Genomic DNA, 12,872 nt, shown 5'->3' with positions numbered 1-12,872 from the left:
CAAGTGTCCTTATTCACATTTCACTGATAAGAAAATAAGTACATGAAGTTAAGAGTTGCCTAATAGCACGTATGGAAAGTGACAGAGCCATGATCAGAACTCATGCTTGACTCCAAAGTCTGTGCTCTCTTTTCTTATGTCATATCAAAGTGGTAACTATTAGTTTTTTCTCTGTAATTGAACATCGAGCACCTGAGTTACTTTTTCTAAATATTAAGATACATTAAATTTGCATTTAAAGTAAAGCCTCTGGTGTCTGTCTGGCTATCAGAGCTCAACCTCACATCCCCTGCTTATCAATAAGCTCATAAGAAAGCACATCGCCAAAATGTTGCATGGTACAATATTTACCATCACTAGTCCTAGGTGACGGTTTTCCAGGAAAAAAGAAAGGGGAGTTCCATTATCAAATAACTTTGGACTGATGGCTAAAAACCCATTTTAGAAATTCATAAAGCAAATTTAATATATTAACAGCTCTGAGATGTCTTACTTTAAAGAAAGCCATGCAACTTTGACTCTGCGTTTCTCAAATTCACTTGTCTATAGAATTTCCTTTTCCCTAATTTAGGCCTTTTAACTTCTCAAGCTATACTACTGTTCTCATAAAACACTCTGAGAAAGCTGACCTAGAAGAATCAATGGTACAAAGACAATAAAAGACATCAGTAGGTTGGTAGGTCTATTGACCAGAGCAAGACATCATTCTACTTTCAAAGCTACACACTTCACACACCAAAATCATGGAGTAAGAACACGGAGGAAAATGAGAAAGAATGTAGACAAAGGAATAAGATGAAGCAGGGAAAAAGGCAAAATCAGGCAGCAGAGTCAAAGAGGAGTATGGCATATACACATGTGGGTAAGAGAACCCTTAACCAAGACTGGAGATGGAGATGTAAGAAAGAAGCAAACCAAGTATCTGAGATGAGAAGTAATCAGGTCATCTAGTGATTTTTTTTAAAAATCCCACTGGACGTTGGGCACAGTGACTCACGCCTGTAATCCTAGCACTCTGGGAGGCCGGGGAGGGCAGATCACCTGAGATCAGGGGTTCGAGACCAGTCTGGCCAACGTGGCAAAACCCTATCTCTCCTAAAACTACAAAAAAAGTAGCCGGGCATGGTGGCACATGCCTGTAATCTCAGCTACTTGGGAAGCTGAGGCAGGAGAATCACTTGAACCCAGGAGGTGGAGGTTGCAGTGAGCCAAGATTGCACCACTGCACTCCAGCCTGGGCAACAGAGTGAGACTCCATCTCAAAAAAAAAAAGAAAAAAAAAAAAGGCCGGGTGCCATGACTCACTCCTGTAATCCTAGCACTTTGGAAGGCCGAGGTGGATGGTCCACTTGAGGTCAGGAGTTCAAAACCAGCCTGGCCAACATAGTGAAACCCTGTCTCTACTAAAAATACAAAAAAAAAAAAAAAAATAGCTAGGTATGGTGGTGGGCACCTGTAATCCCAGCTACTCGGGAGGCTGAGGCAGGATAATTGCCTGAATTCAGGAGGTGGAGGTTGCAGTGGGCCGAGGTTGCGCCACTGCACTCTAGCCTGTGTGACAGAGCGAGACTCCGTCTCAAAAAAAAAAAAAAAAAAAATTCCCACTGGAACGGCCCACAGTCTAGGCAGTCTTCACAAAAGGCACTAATAGTACTCACAGGTCAACTGTCAAACTCTATCTTTGCCTTGCTTCTTTCTAGTCTTTCTAAGGAGCACTCAGATTCCTTAAGACTTCTCTTATCTCATGTGCTGAAAACAACTCTCCTCTAAACATTGGTAAACCAGCTCAGCAGTAAACCTAGCTACCAGCTCATAAGCTAGTACTTCTTGGTTTTTGCCCACCTGGGAGTCAAAGCTTTGAATGCTTATTGATTTTCATGGGAAGCAAGACCTAGATTGGATTTATGACATCCCCAACTAAACTAGCTCTTTGATTAATGCTCTTTATTTTCCCCCATATTCTTGCTAACTTCCCACTATTTCCCCATCATAAGGATTAACATACAACACGAGAAAACAGTTCAATACCTGTTCATACCAATAAATTGAAGGTGCATCACTAACACTGTGTATTAAGGTAGGAAATTATGCAAGAGATACGAAGGAAGAGATTGTTGCTAATTTTTTAGAATAAAGATCTCATTTAGAAAGATTTTCATTAAAATAGTTAAAATGAATGTATTTGTAGTGAATGAAAAATGTCACTGCTCTTAAAGGGTTAACCTTTAAGTACTGTACAAGAAAAATTCATAAAGTCAAAACAAAAACACTTCCATGTGTCATACTTACCTGTATTTTCATCCTAAAGGATTAATGAGTCTGTTGGGGTTTTTCACTTGCCCCTCCCTCTCATTCACTCAATAAATATTTTTGAAAAGGAATTTTTTTTTTGAGAGAGAGTCTCGCTCTGTCACCCTGGCTGGAGTGCAGTGGGGTGATCTTGGAACACTGCAACCTCCTCCTCCCAGGTTCAAGGGATTCTCCTGCCTCAGCCTCCTGAGAAGCTGGGATTAACAGGCGCACACCACCACACCCGGCTAATTTTTGTATTTTTAGTATAGACGGGGTTTCACCATGTTGGCCAGGCTGGTCTTGAACTCCTGACCTCGTGATCCACCTGCCCTGGCCTCCCAGAGTGCTGGGATTACGGGCATGAGCCACCGCGTCCGGCGCTTTTTTATTGAGTACCTGCACTGATGAATAAGATAGTGCCTACTTCTAAGCAGTTTACAGATTAGTAGGAAAGAGTGTAAATAAGAAACTATGTTACTCTAAGATTAGGTCACATCTTTTCCAGAGGTGATTTTTGGGTTGAGTTTTTTAGGACCAGAAGGAGTTAAACAGAATGGTCTCGTGCTGGGGACAAGCTGGGGAATGGCATGGTGTGGAGGGAGGTTGTTAGGAAATTTGAAGCTGGGAATACTTTCAAGCCCAAAGGTGGAAGGTGGAAGAGTAAGTACTGGGCTGCTTTTCCTTCCAGCATCTTTTCTAATTATAAGCCACTCCTCCTTCAGCCTTGCTGCCTCCCTGCCCCACCTAGAGGCGATGTGGGATCACAAAAATGGCATGGGCAAGTAGCCAGAGGGGCTAGAATGTTGCCTCAGCCCCTGGACTAGATGTGTGATCTTGGGCAAGCTAGCTGCTTACCTTCTGTGAGCTTATTTTCTCATCTGTGAAATGGGGATAGTGGCACTTGGGTTAAATGAGATAATGTAGGCCAAGTTCCTGCCTCAACTCATTTGGATTTTCCTGCCCCCTCCCCTTGCTTCAGTTGTTTTGGAAATTACACTCTTTCTCCTTATAACTTTCCCATTGCTCCTCTGATCTCCATTTTGGTATACTTTTTCAAGTATCCCCACTAAGAAGGCTGACTATGGGAGAGGGCTGCACCAAGCATAGCTGGAAAAGAGCACAGAAAAGCTCTCCCAAGTGGCTAGGATGTGCCCAGCTTTCCTTCCCCGTTCCCTGCCCTCCCCTCCCCTCCCCTCCCCCCCCCTTTCCTCGCAGATTCAGAACTGTTGCTCCCAGGGATCCTGGGCTTTTGTTCTCTGGAAGCTTAAACCACCACCTGTTTTGCCTTTATTGTTTAAAGGGTATCTCCTGTTGTTCACAAACTACCACAGGTTGAAGCGGACAAAACTTAAAGGCAGCAGGAGCTAAGTATGGTACTTCCTTTTTTTAAAACAACAAAAACAACAGAAAATACTAATAGTAAAACATCAATGCTTTTCCATTTTCCCTTTTTTATTTCTTTTCTGAGGTCCCCTCTAACACTAACTACCCCCTCTTTACCTGTTAATCCTACCATTAGTACTAATAAAAAGTTATCTTTAACGTTAATTATAACTTGTTATATATCTGTTTTTCTTAGTTTGAAGTTTTTACAGTCTGAGGTATCCTCTAAAGCAGTTTCTCAAACTTGAATATGCGTAAGAATCACCTAGGGATCCTGTTAAAACGCAGATTATGATTTAGAAGGCCTGGGGAAGGTCTGAGCTTTACCTGAGCTCCCAGGTAAAGCCCTTGCTGCTGGGCCTTGGACCACACTTGAAGTAGCAAGGCCTTACAGGGTTTAGAACAAATAAAGTGCATACACACAAAAAAATGATTGCTGGATGCTGCTTTGGTCTCTCTTACTCTGTATCTTGAGCTTTTCTTCAATACATCTTTTTCCACCTTTTCCTATGCATAATTTATAGCCAACACCTGACAATCATTCCTTTGTGTAATTACTTAGTTGTGCTCTTCCTTCCCTTTTCTTAGTCACCATTCTCACTGAGAAATGCGTCATTTCATGAGTACTCCAGTTACCCCCAGCCTCTTTCTACTAACATCTACCTTGAAACATCAAGAACTGGTTAAATAATCATTTTTACCCCCTTCTTGCTGAGCAACCTATAGTAGCTTCCTACTACACACATTAAATTCATATTCAGAATGAGAAGCTTCAAGACATTTCACCAACCCTTCCTTCTCCTCTGCCAATTTCTCTTTTTGCTCCACTTGGAACTCTCTGCATATTGCCCAGGTATACTTAGTTTCTCGAAACTCCTTACAGGACATTTTACTTTGGGACTGTCTTCTTTCATTCCTTTTTAAAGACATGCTGTATCGCTTTCAAAAAATTCTCAATTTTTACCAATTCAAAAAAAATTTCCTAATTCATTTCCAGTTGAGTCCCGTATTTAAAACAGTATTATCTAGGTGCTAATATATGTCTTATTATTCTTATTTTTATATGTCTTAACATTCTTTTTAAAAATATTTTCAGCCTCTCTAAAGGATCAAAAAATTAACCTTTAAAATCCCTTGAAGAGCATTTTAAGAGAGAAAATATTTGAGGTTTAGTAACACTTACACATTGTACCACCTACCAGCTCCTATTCTACTAGGGAAATAAAATTTAGATGCAGCTAAAATTTAGTTAGGGCCCAAACTCACATCCTATCTAAAAGGTTTCTGTTTTCCTGTCATTGTTTTCTACCCTTCGCATTTTGCATTCAGTAGGGTTGCATTTTTCTTAATAGTTCTTGGTGATGCAAATGCAAAAGAAATGAAATAGGGCTCTCTCATACTACAATTTCAAGGAAAAGGAGACTACGAGGCCCATTCAGCGAGGTGCAAGAGGCCTAGATGCAGCACACCCTGCAACCGCCGCATGCTCCAATTTCATCTTAGGGTTTTCGTACAGCTCCTCTTTTTTGGATGATGCAAACCGCGCAAAAGCAGCATTCAAACCTCCCCACCCTGGAAACGATACAAGAACATGAATCTTTACTGCCACTTTCTCCCTAACACGCAGCCAAGGGAGAGAGGCCCGGATACCCGCCCCCAAAACCGCGTCCACAACAATCATTTCCTCCCTCCCCGCCTTTTACATACAGTACACATACAAATACACACACGCAGAGAAGCCAGCAGGGGCGGGCCGGGCCCGACCACTCCGCAAACCGCAGGGGGAACTTGCGGCAGGCCGAGCTATTTTCGCCCAGTCCTTTCTTCTTCGCTTGCGTCTTCCTCTCCATCTGCATGCACCTGTTACATGAAAGCGAACTTGGGGACGTAGGGTTTCCAGAAAATCCGCTTCGGAGCCACACAGCTTCGCCGGGTGCTGCAACATCCCCCCTCTCTCGGTAAACAGTTGGTCGCGCCCCAGTGCTAGCGGGCGCCGAGCGGGAGCCGCGCGGGAGCAGCGCAGCTACGGCGGCGGCAGCGGCGGCGCGGTTGCGATTCCGAGCCGTTGAGACGCCTCTGCGGCAGCTGGTGGCGCAGGTGGCTTGCGTGGACGCGGGTAGAGGCGACCGGCCAGCAACCGCAGCGTCGGCGCCCGCGGCCCCGGCAGGTGAGCGGGCGACGGGGACTCGCCCCGCCCCCCCCTCGGTGGCGTCGCTCCTGGCTGTAGCGGGGAAGTGGACGCGGCCCGCCCGGGAGCCGAGGGGGCCGAGGCTGCAGCCGCTGGGCAGCAGGTTGCGGGGGAGGCCTTGCGTGGGCGGAAGGGGGCCGCTCGCTTCTCGGAATCCCTGCCTTTTTCTCTCCCATGCACCCCCTCCCTTTTGGGGCTTAAGCTCGGTGGAAAAAGCCCGGAGAAAGATGGGGCGGGCAGACGGGCGATTTCTGGCCGGGCAGCATCCCTGCTTCAGGTGGTGGCGTCTCTTCGGTGGCGGGGTGGAGGACCTGCTCCAGCGCGGAGGCAGCGCACTGGCGGGGGAGGAGCGGGAGGCGGCCGTCCCCTCGCTCTCCCACCCCCACCCGCCGGTTCCCCTCCCCCTCCCCTTGCGGCCCCTCCCTTCGGGGTTCTTCGCTTTAACCGCCCTCGGTGCTCTCCCTAGCAGGCGCGTCGGGACGCCCCGAGGCATCCTCCCCCGCCCGCGGGCCCGGTAGCTGGGCCCGCGTCCGCCGCCCGCATCCCCGCGCCGCCGCATCTCCTCGCCGCCTCCCGGGCTTCGGACCCCCGGTCTCGCCCCCGAAACATGACTCGCGATTTCAAACCTGGAGACCTCATCTTCGCCAAGATGAAAGGTTATCCCCATTGGCCAGCTCGAGTAAGTGATTTGTAGCCCTCGCGCTTAGCAGTGCTACCCTCCTCTCCAGAGGCCTGCTGCCCACCGTGTCTCTTTATTTTTTCTTCTGTCCTTTCTCTCCCTCGCTTTAGTCTCATTTGTAACCTGACCTTTCATTTTAGTTTTTTGCCCAATAATCTCCCGTGTAATTATGAAAATCCAGACGTTTCTACATACCTGTGTATTTCCCTATGGTTTATTGGCAGACTTGGACAGATTTTCTTCCTAGGAAATATTTAAATGCGTTGCTAGTTAATATTCCATTGTAGGTGAAATAATGAAGAGTGAATTTTTGTTTAAAAATTAGTGAAACATTGACATTTCCATAGTTTTGGATCAAGTACAAAATATCAATGGAATTTGTGCAGATTACACACAAACACTTGGATGTCAGAGAAGTGCGTATGTGATTAAATTGGATTTACAGGGTTTTAAAAAAAATACCTTGTACTTGATGAGGCCTTCTGGATTTGCTTGTTTAATACAGATTCAGGACTGGATATTCTTGAAAGTATTACAGTAGTTTAGTACCGAGGAAGGGCCAGAAAATTCATTTCTCCTTTTTTATTTGAGATGTTTATGACCTTGAAGAAGTTGTTTTACCTTTTTGTTTCCAATAGGCAAAAAGGAGGTGTGGACCAGATTCCTCAGTTCACATCTAGTGGTACAGAGAAATGATTAAGGACCCAGGATGTTTTGTGACATTGAGGAATTGAGACTGTTTAAAGATCTACGCTCCATTTTTAGAAAAAGGGTTCTTTTTGTTTATGGTGGTACCCAGGCTCTCAAACAGAGATAGATAGGACCTAAGATATGTTGCAATCAATTAGATTAGGTAAACTCAAGATCCTTTAAAAATATACTTACATGGGGTTCTGAAGTTTTATTTTTCCAAGCCATTTATTTTCGACTAATTTACTGTCCTTTGAAAATGTATTTCTTAAAAATAATTAAATTCTGTAGTTTTAGTTATGTCAGCAGGGGAATGGTGGAAAACACCCATTAGATAACGGAGTCCTGTCTAGGAGCTGAGAGTGCCATCCAAGTGTAAAACGATCACTGTTCCTTGACTTTCTTCCATCTAGCTGCTCTACGTAAACTCCTGTTCACAAGTTTCCTTCCAAAGCTTTTTTCCTTGCCTATAAAGTCTGCCTTTTCGGTGCAGTCTTACTTGAACAATCCTTAGTCATAATCCTTGTCTGTATATTTTACATTCTAATCTATTCCTTTCGTGATAATCTTTTGTTTTAATTCTTAACTCTGTGTATGCTTTGACCTCCAAATATATTGTGAGACCGAGGGCAACAACCTTAAATGGAATTTGTTTATACCCTCCATAGTCCGTAGTATATATGATGCACCTATAAAACACAATTCACGTTCAAATGGAGCCTAGGGAAACTGATCAGGTTTAAGGCCCCTCTGATATACTTTTTCATGGTCTTCGAGGTATCCTTGTTTATTTTGAGGTGTTTGAAAATATGAGGTTGTCTAATAGATCTATATTCCGATTTGCATGCCACAGTGAAGTTAAAAGCCAAAGGAAATGTTTAAAAAATCTCCCAAATCACCCTCCCCACGCTCATATGTTAAGTGACTAAGAGTGCTACTGAAAATAAAATAGGGTAGCCTTTGGAAGACCAGAGTGTTTTCCTTATTTAACAAGTTCTACATTTAACAAGTTCATTTGGATTGGAAGGGAAGTGTTTGTCTTTTCCCTTTTCCCCATCATTTTTTCTGAGAAACACCTCCATTTAGTGTTGGTGTATTCTGTGTCCAACAGTTACATTCCTTTTTCTGTCTTCTTCATTCTTAAAAATTTGAAATCTTTGCTGTAGAGTTTAGAGTCCATATTTAAAGTCTGAGCCGTAAAGGTGACACCTCTTGTTGCAATTTTTGCTTTAACATTTCTGTCTACATGTCCCAAACTTCATTAATTTTTAAGTCTTAAACATTCATGTACATAATCGTTTACCAGTAATAATTATTTAAAAAATCAACTTAAATTTTGCCCGGCATTTGCTAAAGGCTATAGGTGCTAGGTATTTGCATAAACTCTTTAAGCTGTTTGCTAGCAGAAAGAGGCATATGAACTGGGTTAACAGAAATGATCTCTTAAGGGATTAAGGATTTTTGCAATTATCGGGACATTCCCACAAAGTTGAGATAACAGGTGTGATCTTCATCATATAAGTGGGGAAATAGGTCCCTAGAGATATTGGGTGGTAATGATTCTGTTGGTGTGTGAAAGCCTTTAGACTTCCCTCACAAATCAGTTCAGTCATCCTGATGGTCTTCTTCTGCAACACCATAATGCTTACAGAGGATAGTAGGTCCTCTGATGGTCAACCCCCTTCTTAACAAAGTCAGCTGATTTTCAAATTGAAGTGTTTTTGAAATTATGAAAATTATGACATTTAAAATAGATATGTTGTTAAATTCTTTTTTTTTGTTTTTTTTAAAGACAGGATCTCACTCTGTCACCCAGGCTTGAGTGCAGTGGCATGATCTCGGCTCACTGCAACCTCTGTTGCCCAGGTTCAAGTGATTCGCCTCTGGAGTGGCTGAGATTACAGGCACCTGACACCGTGCCCTGCTAATTTTTGTATTTTTAGTAGAGACCGGGTTTCACCATATTGGTCAGGCTGGTCTTGAACTCCTGACCTCATGATCCATCCACCTTGCCCTCCCAGAGTGCTGGGATTACAGGTGTGAGCCACCGCGCCTGGCCGACATGTTGTTAAATTCTAGCTAGATAGTACTGCTTTAGTCCTGAGGTCTGCTTTTCCTTTATTGATGAGGGAAAGTAACAAGTATTATGGATATATTAGACGTGACAGCACCTGATGATTTCTTCCTTACATAATTTAAAAGGTTGAAAGAGCAGTGAAAAAGGAACAGGTAGCCTCATGTGATTCAGGCACATCAGTGAAGGATCTTTTCATAGTAAGTTTTTCAGACTTTGGGAGGTACTGATTTAAACTTTTGTCAATGTCTGCTTTTACATTAGTCTGTTATTTGTATAGATTTCCTGCAGAACTAACATTTAGGGTTGTCAAATAGGTTCAGACTCCTTACCTGAAATGATATGATTAACAATTCAGAATTCTGGGATTTTAGGAAGGCAGGGAGAGTACATATGCCATATATTTTGCTGCTGGTGCGGTCTGGAATAGCACATAATAATATGTCTGCAAAGAAACAACAGTGGAAACAGGTGGATAAAAGAAATGACTGATACCCTCAATGTCAGTCCAGGTTTTGCCACCAAATGAGTTTTGACAGAAATTTTGGTTTTCAGAGCTTCTTGGGTTTCAGATTTGGGGATAGGAGATTATGGGCCTGCAGAACTGGCCCATTTTATAACAGAACCCTTTTGGATGTTGTGCTCTTGTTTATTCAGATAAATGTTGAGGTGTGTATGATTTAAAATATTTTAATTTTTCTCACTTTTCTTTTAGGTAGACGAAGTTCCTGATGGAGCTGTAAAGCCACCCACAAACAAACTACCCATTTTCTTTTTTGGAACTCATGAGACGTAAGTCCTGTTAGCTTTAAAGGCAAATCAGAGCTAATTTAACAGGGTTATTAGGCAGTAGACATTAATTCAAGGGGGAAATCGTAACGTAATAGGAAACTTTAAAATCTTTGAACTTTGGAAAGAGTCTTTAAGTCTCTATTTTTAAGGTAGCGTTTACAGATGCTATAGGTTTATTTTTTACTGGAATTGATATTTCCTTAACCAAAAAGGAAAGTAGAAATTCTCTGAGCAATAAGAATGATTGATGGATGAAAATACATAAGGAAAGTTTTAATAAGTGATCTGATATTCCTATACAGTAAAATAAGTGCTTTTTATAAGGACTAGTTGGTACCTAATTTTTGGTTTTATGATATCAGATATGCAAACTGTGTATATTGTGGAGAAGGTGAGAAGAGGAAGTCTAGCTAGTTCCCTCCATGTGTTTATATGGTCCCTGAAGCTCTGCTGCCTCTGGTGGGTATGTGGGCAGAGAACTGATGTGAAGCAAATTTTTCAAAAATTGCAGCTGAATGTTGACGTATGTTACTGCCAAGTGCATGGGATCACTCAGGAGGCTACCGTTAATTTCCCGAAGAATGTTCCTATGTACCTATAATTTAATGGCCTTAGAAATACTATATAATCTGGTTGATTTTGGACTTGAAGTTTGGTGTCTGTCATAATTTTGGTAGTCTTGTTTACCTGGGATGAGGAGAAACAAAACTATTGCTATTCTGATTAGAATTATGTATTCCTAAGAGTGGCTGCAATGGCAATATTTGGTTTAAAGTTGCTTAGCTACTGTATAAACTTTCACACAATGTCTTTAATAGCTCTATTGAGATGGAATTTACATACAAAGAAGTTCACCTGCTTAAAGTGATTTTCAATAGATTTTAGTATATTTAGTAGATTTTAGTATATTGACTATCATAACCTTTTGATGATCACTTTCCCCTCTCCAACCGTAAACAACCACTAGTCTACTGTCTGTATAGACTTACCAGTTCTGGACATTTTATTTGAATGGTGTCATACAATATTTCATAATAAGTTTTTAAAAAAATACAACTTTGGATCCAGAATTGGTTTGGCCTTCATCATAATTAGAGTTAGGTTCAAGTGTATTCTATATATAACAATATAATTTTTAAGAAGTGATAAGTTTCTGATTCCATGGGATACTTTAAAGAAACTCTTCAGTAAATTTAATAGAGGACAAAAGTATCTTTTAATGGAAAATGGTGCAGTGTATATTAGAGTAGGGCTTTTCAAAGTGTGTTGTCAGGTCTAGCACCATTAGCATCTCTTGCGAACTTTAATTAAAATGTAAGTTCTTGGCTGGGTGTGGTGGCTGACACCTGTAATCCCAACACTTTGGGAGGCCAAGGCGGGAGGGTCACTTGAGTTCAGGAGTTGGAGACCAGCCTGCAACATGGTGAAACTGTGTCTCTACAAAAAATACAAAAATTAGCCGTTTGTGGTGGCACACACATGTGGTCCCAGCTACTCCAGAGGCTGAGGTGGAACCGTCACCTGAGCCGGGGAGGCAAAGGTTGCAGTGAGCCAAGATCTCACCACTGCAGACCTCATCTCAAAAAAAAAAAAAAAAAAAAAGTTCTTAGGCCTTATTCTAGACCTACTGAATAAAGCTGTGAGTGTGGAGCCAAAGACCTGTTTTAACAAGCCTTCCAGATGATTCTGATTTACGTTGAAGTTTGGAAATACTGTAGTAATGTGAGTGGACATTCCTTAGCATTTTTCAGTTTTATAAGCTTAAAAGTCTTTAATTCTGATTTTTGTCTGAAATGGAACAGGTTTTTTCTTTTTTTTTTTTTTGAGACCGAGTCTAGCTCTGTTGCCCAGGCTGGAGTGCAGTGGCATGATCTCCGCTCACTGCATGCTCCGCCTCCTGGGTTCACGCCATTCTCCTGCCTCAGCCTCCCGAGTAGCTGGGACTACAGGTGCCTGCCACCACGCCAGGCTAATTTTTTGTATTTTTAGTAGAGATGGGGTTTCACCGTGTTAGCCAGGATGGTCTCGATCTCCTGACCTCGTGATCTGCCCACCTCGGCCTCCTAAAGTGCTGGAATGGAACCGATTTTATACTTCTATATATCCTGATAGTCTTACAGAATACACAGTCCATTCTTACGTTACTATTTTAAATTTAGAAGAGGAATGATTATCCCTTCTCCTGCATTTAAAAGGATTTTCATATATAAATATATGTACACTTTAAACCAAAACAAACTAAACTAAATAACTAAACTGTTGTTTGGTTAATAGGTAATTAGATAGTTAATGAAGACAGTGAATTACTAATATTCAAGAATTTAGGATATATTCAAGGAATTCAAATGAATTTAACTTTAAAGTTAAGCTGACAATACTGAATTTTCATTTCAAAATGCACTTGGTTTTTGCCTTAGTGTTCTTATGATTATACCATTTATCTTTGGAAAAGCAGTGCTGCCCCATATGTATGTTGGTCTGGTGGTGACTTCTTTTGTACTTAAGATTAATTTTTGGGCTGGGCGCGGTGGCTTACGCGTGTAATCCCAGCACTTTGGGAGGCTGAAGCGGGCGGATGACGAGGTCAGGAGTTCAAGACCACTTTGGCCAATATAGTGAAACCCCATCTCTACTGAAAATACAAAAATTAGCCTGGCATGGTAGTGTGCACCTGTAGTCTCAGCTACTTGGGAGGCTGAGGCAGGAGAATTGCTTGAACCCAGGAGGCAGAGGGTGTGGTGAGCCGAGATTGTGCCATTGCACTCCAGCCTGGG

General features: G+C 42.2%; 1 protein-coding gene across 12 annotated transcripts in view, besides 8 other annotated features; it reads left to right on the top strand.

Moving 5' to 3' along the window:
* Nucleotides 3,399-4,017: an enhancer, noted in NCBI's record as "OCT4-NANOG-H3K27ac hESC enhancer chr9:15512640-15513258 (GRCh37/hg19 assembly coordinates)". NCBI's record gives its function as "activates a minimal SCP1, AML or CMV promoter by ChIP-STARR-seq in naive and primed H9 embryonic stem cells {active_cell/tissue: H9 hESC(naive and primed)}" and the evidence as "EXISTENCE:reporter gene assay evidence [ECO:0000049][PMID:30033119]".
* Nucleotides 4,670-5,622: an enhancer, noted in NCBI's record as "NANOG-H3K27ac-H3K4me1 hESC enhancer chr9:15511035-15511987 (GRCh37/hg19 assembly coordinates)". NCBI's record gives its function as "activates a minimal SCP1, AML or CMV promoter by ChIP-STARR-seq in naive and primed H9 embryonic stem cells {active_cell/tissue: H9 hESC(naive and primed)}" and the evidence as "EXISTENCE:reporter gene assay evidence [ECO:0000049][PMID:30033119]".
* Nucleotides 5,623-6,576: an enhancer, noted in NCBI's record as "NANOG-H3K27ac-H3K4me1 hESC enhancer chr9:15510081-15511034 (GRCh37/hg19 assembly coordinates)". NCBI's record gives its function as "activates a minimal SCP1, AML or CMV promoter by ChIP-STARR-seq in primed H9 embryonic stem cells {active_cell/tissue: H9 hESC(primed)}" and the evidence as "EXISTENCE:reporter gene assay evidence [ECO:0000049][PMID:30033119]".
* PSIP1 (PC4 and SRSF1 interacting protein 1) overlaps nt 5,689-12,872 on the top strand; it is a 46,905-nt gene continuing 39,721 nt past the window's right edge. For 6 of the 12 annotated variants that reach the window (NM_001128217.3, NM_001317900.3, NM_001438383.1 and 3 more), the window contains exons 1-3: nt 5,689-5,842; nt 6,333-6,542; nt 10,022-10,098. In NM_001128217.3, the coding sequence (NP_001121689.1) occupies nt 6,471-6,542; nt 10,022-10,098 (149 nt within the window). In that variant the 5' untranslated portion in view covers nt 5,689-5,842; nt 6,333-6,470. Of the gene's footprint in view, nt 5,843-6,300; nt 6,543-10,021; nt 10,099-12,872 lie in introns of those variants that run through there. The other 6 variants (NM_033222.5, NM_001438384.1, NM_001438385.1 and 3 more) reach the window with 2 other exon arrangements.
* Nucleotides 5,704-5,783: a silencer, noted in NCBI's record as "silent region_19785". NCBI's record gives its function as "represses an Ori minimal core promoter by ATAC-STARR-seq in GM12878 lymphoblastoid cells {active_cell/tissue: GM12878}" and the evidence as "EXISTENCE:reporter gene assay evidence [ECO:0000049][PMID:35858748]".
* Nucleotides 5,804-6,013: a silencer, noted in NCBI's record as "silent region_19784". NCBI's record gives its function as "represses an Ori minimal core promoter by ATAC-STARR-seq in GM12878 lymphoblastoid cells {active_cell/tissue: GM12878}" and the evidence as "EXISTENCE:reporter gene assay evidence [ECO:0000049][PMID:35858748]".
* Nucleotides 6,024-6,083: a silencer, noted in NCBI's record as "silent region_19783". NCBI's record gives its function as "represses an Ori minimal core promoter by ATAC-STARR-seq in GM12878 lymphoblastoid cells {active_cell/tissue: GM12878}" and the evidence as "EXISTENCE:reporter gene assay evidence [ECO:0000049][PMID:35858748]".
* Nucleotides 6,214-6,263: a silencer, noted in NCBI's record as "silent region_19782". NCBI's record gives its function as "represses an Ori minimal core promoter by ATAC-STARR-seq in GM12878 lymphoblastoid cells {active_cell/tissue: GM12878}" and the evidence as "EXISTENCE:reporter gene assay evidence [ECO:0000049][PMID:35858748]".
* Nucleotides 6,364-6,563: a silencer, noted in NCBI's record as "silent region_19781". NCBI's record gives its function as "represses an Ori minimal core promoter by ATAC-STARR-seq in GM12878 lymphoblastoid cells {active_cell/tissue: GM12878}" and the evidence as "EXISTENCE:reporter gene assay evidence [ECO:0000049][PMID:35858748]".

The sequence above is a fragment of the Homo sapiens genome, chromosome 9 (assembly GCF_000001405.40).
Source record: "Homo sapiens chromosome 9, GRCh38.p14 Primary Assembly".
NCBI classification, from domain to species: domain Eukaryota; kingdom Metazoa; phylum Chordata; class Mammalia; order Primates; family Hominidae; genus Homo; species Homo sapiens.
This window is presented reverse-complemented; position numbering and strand designations above follow the sequence as displayed.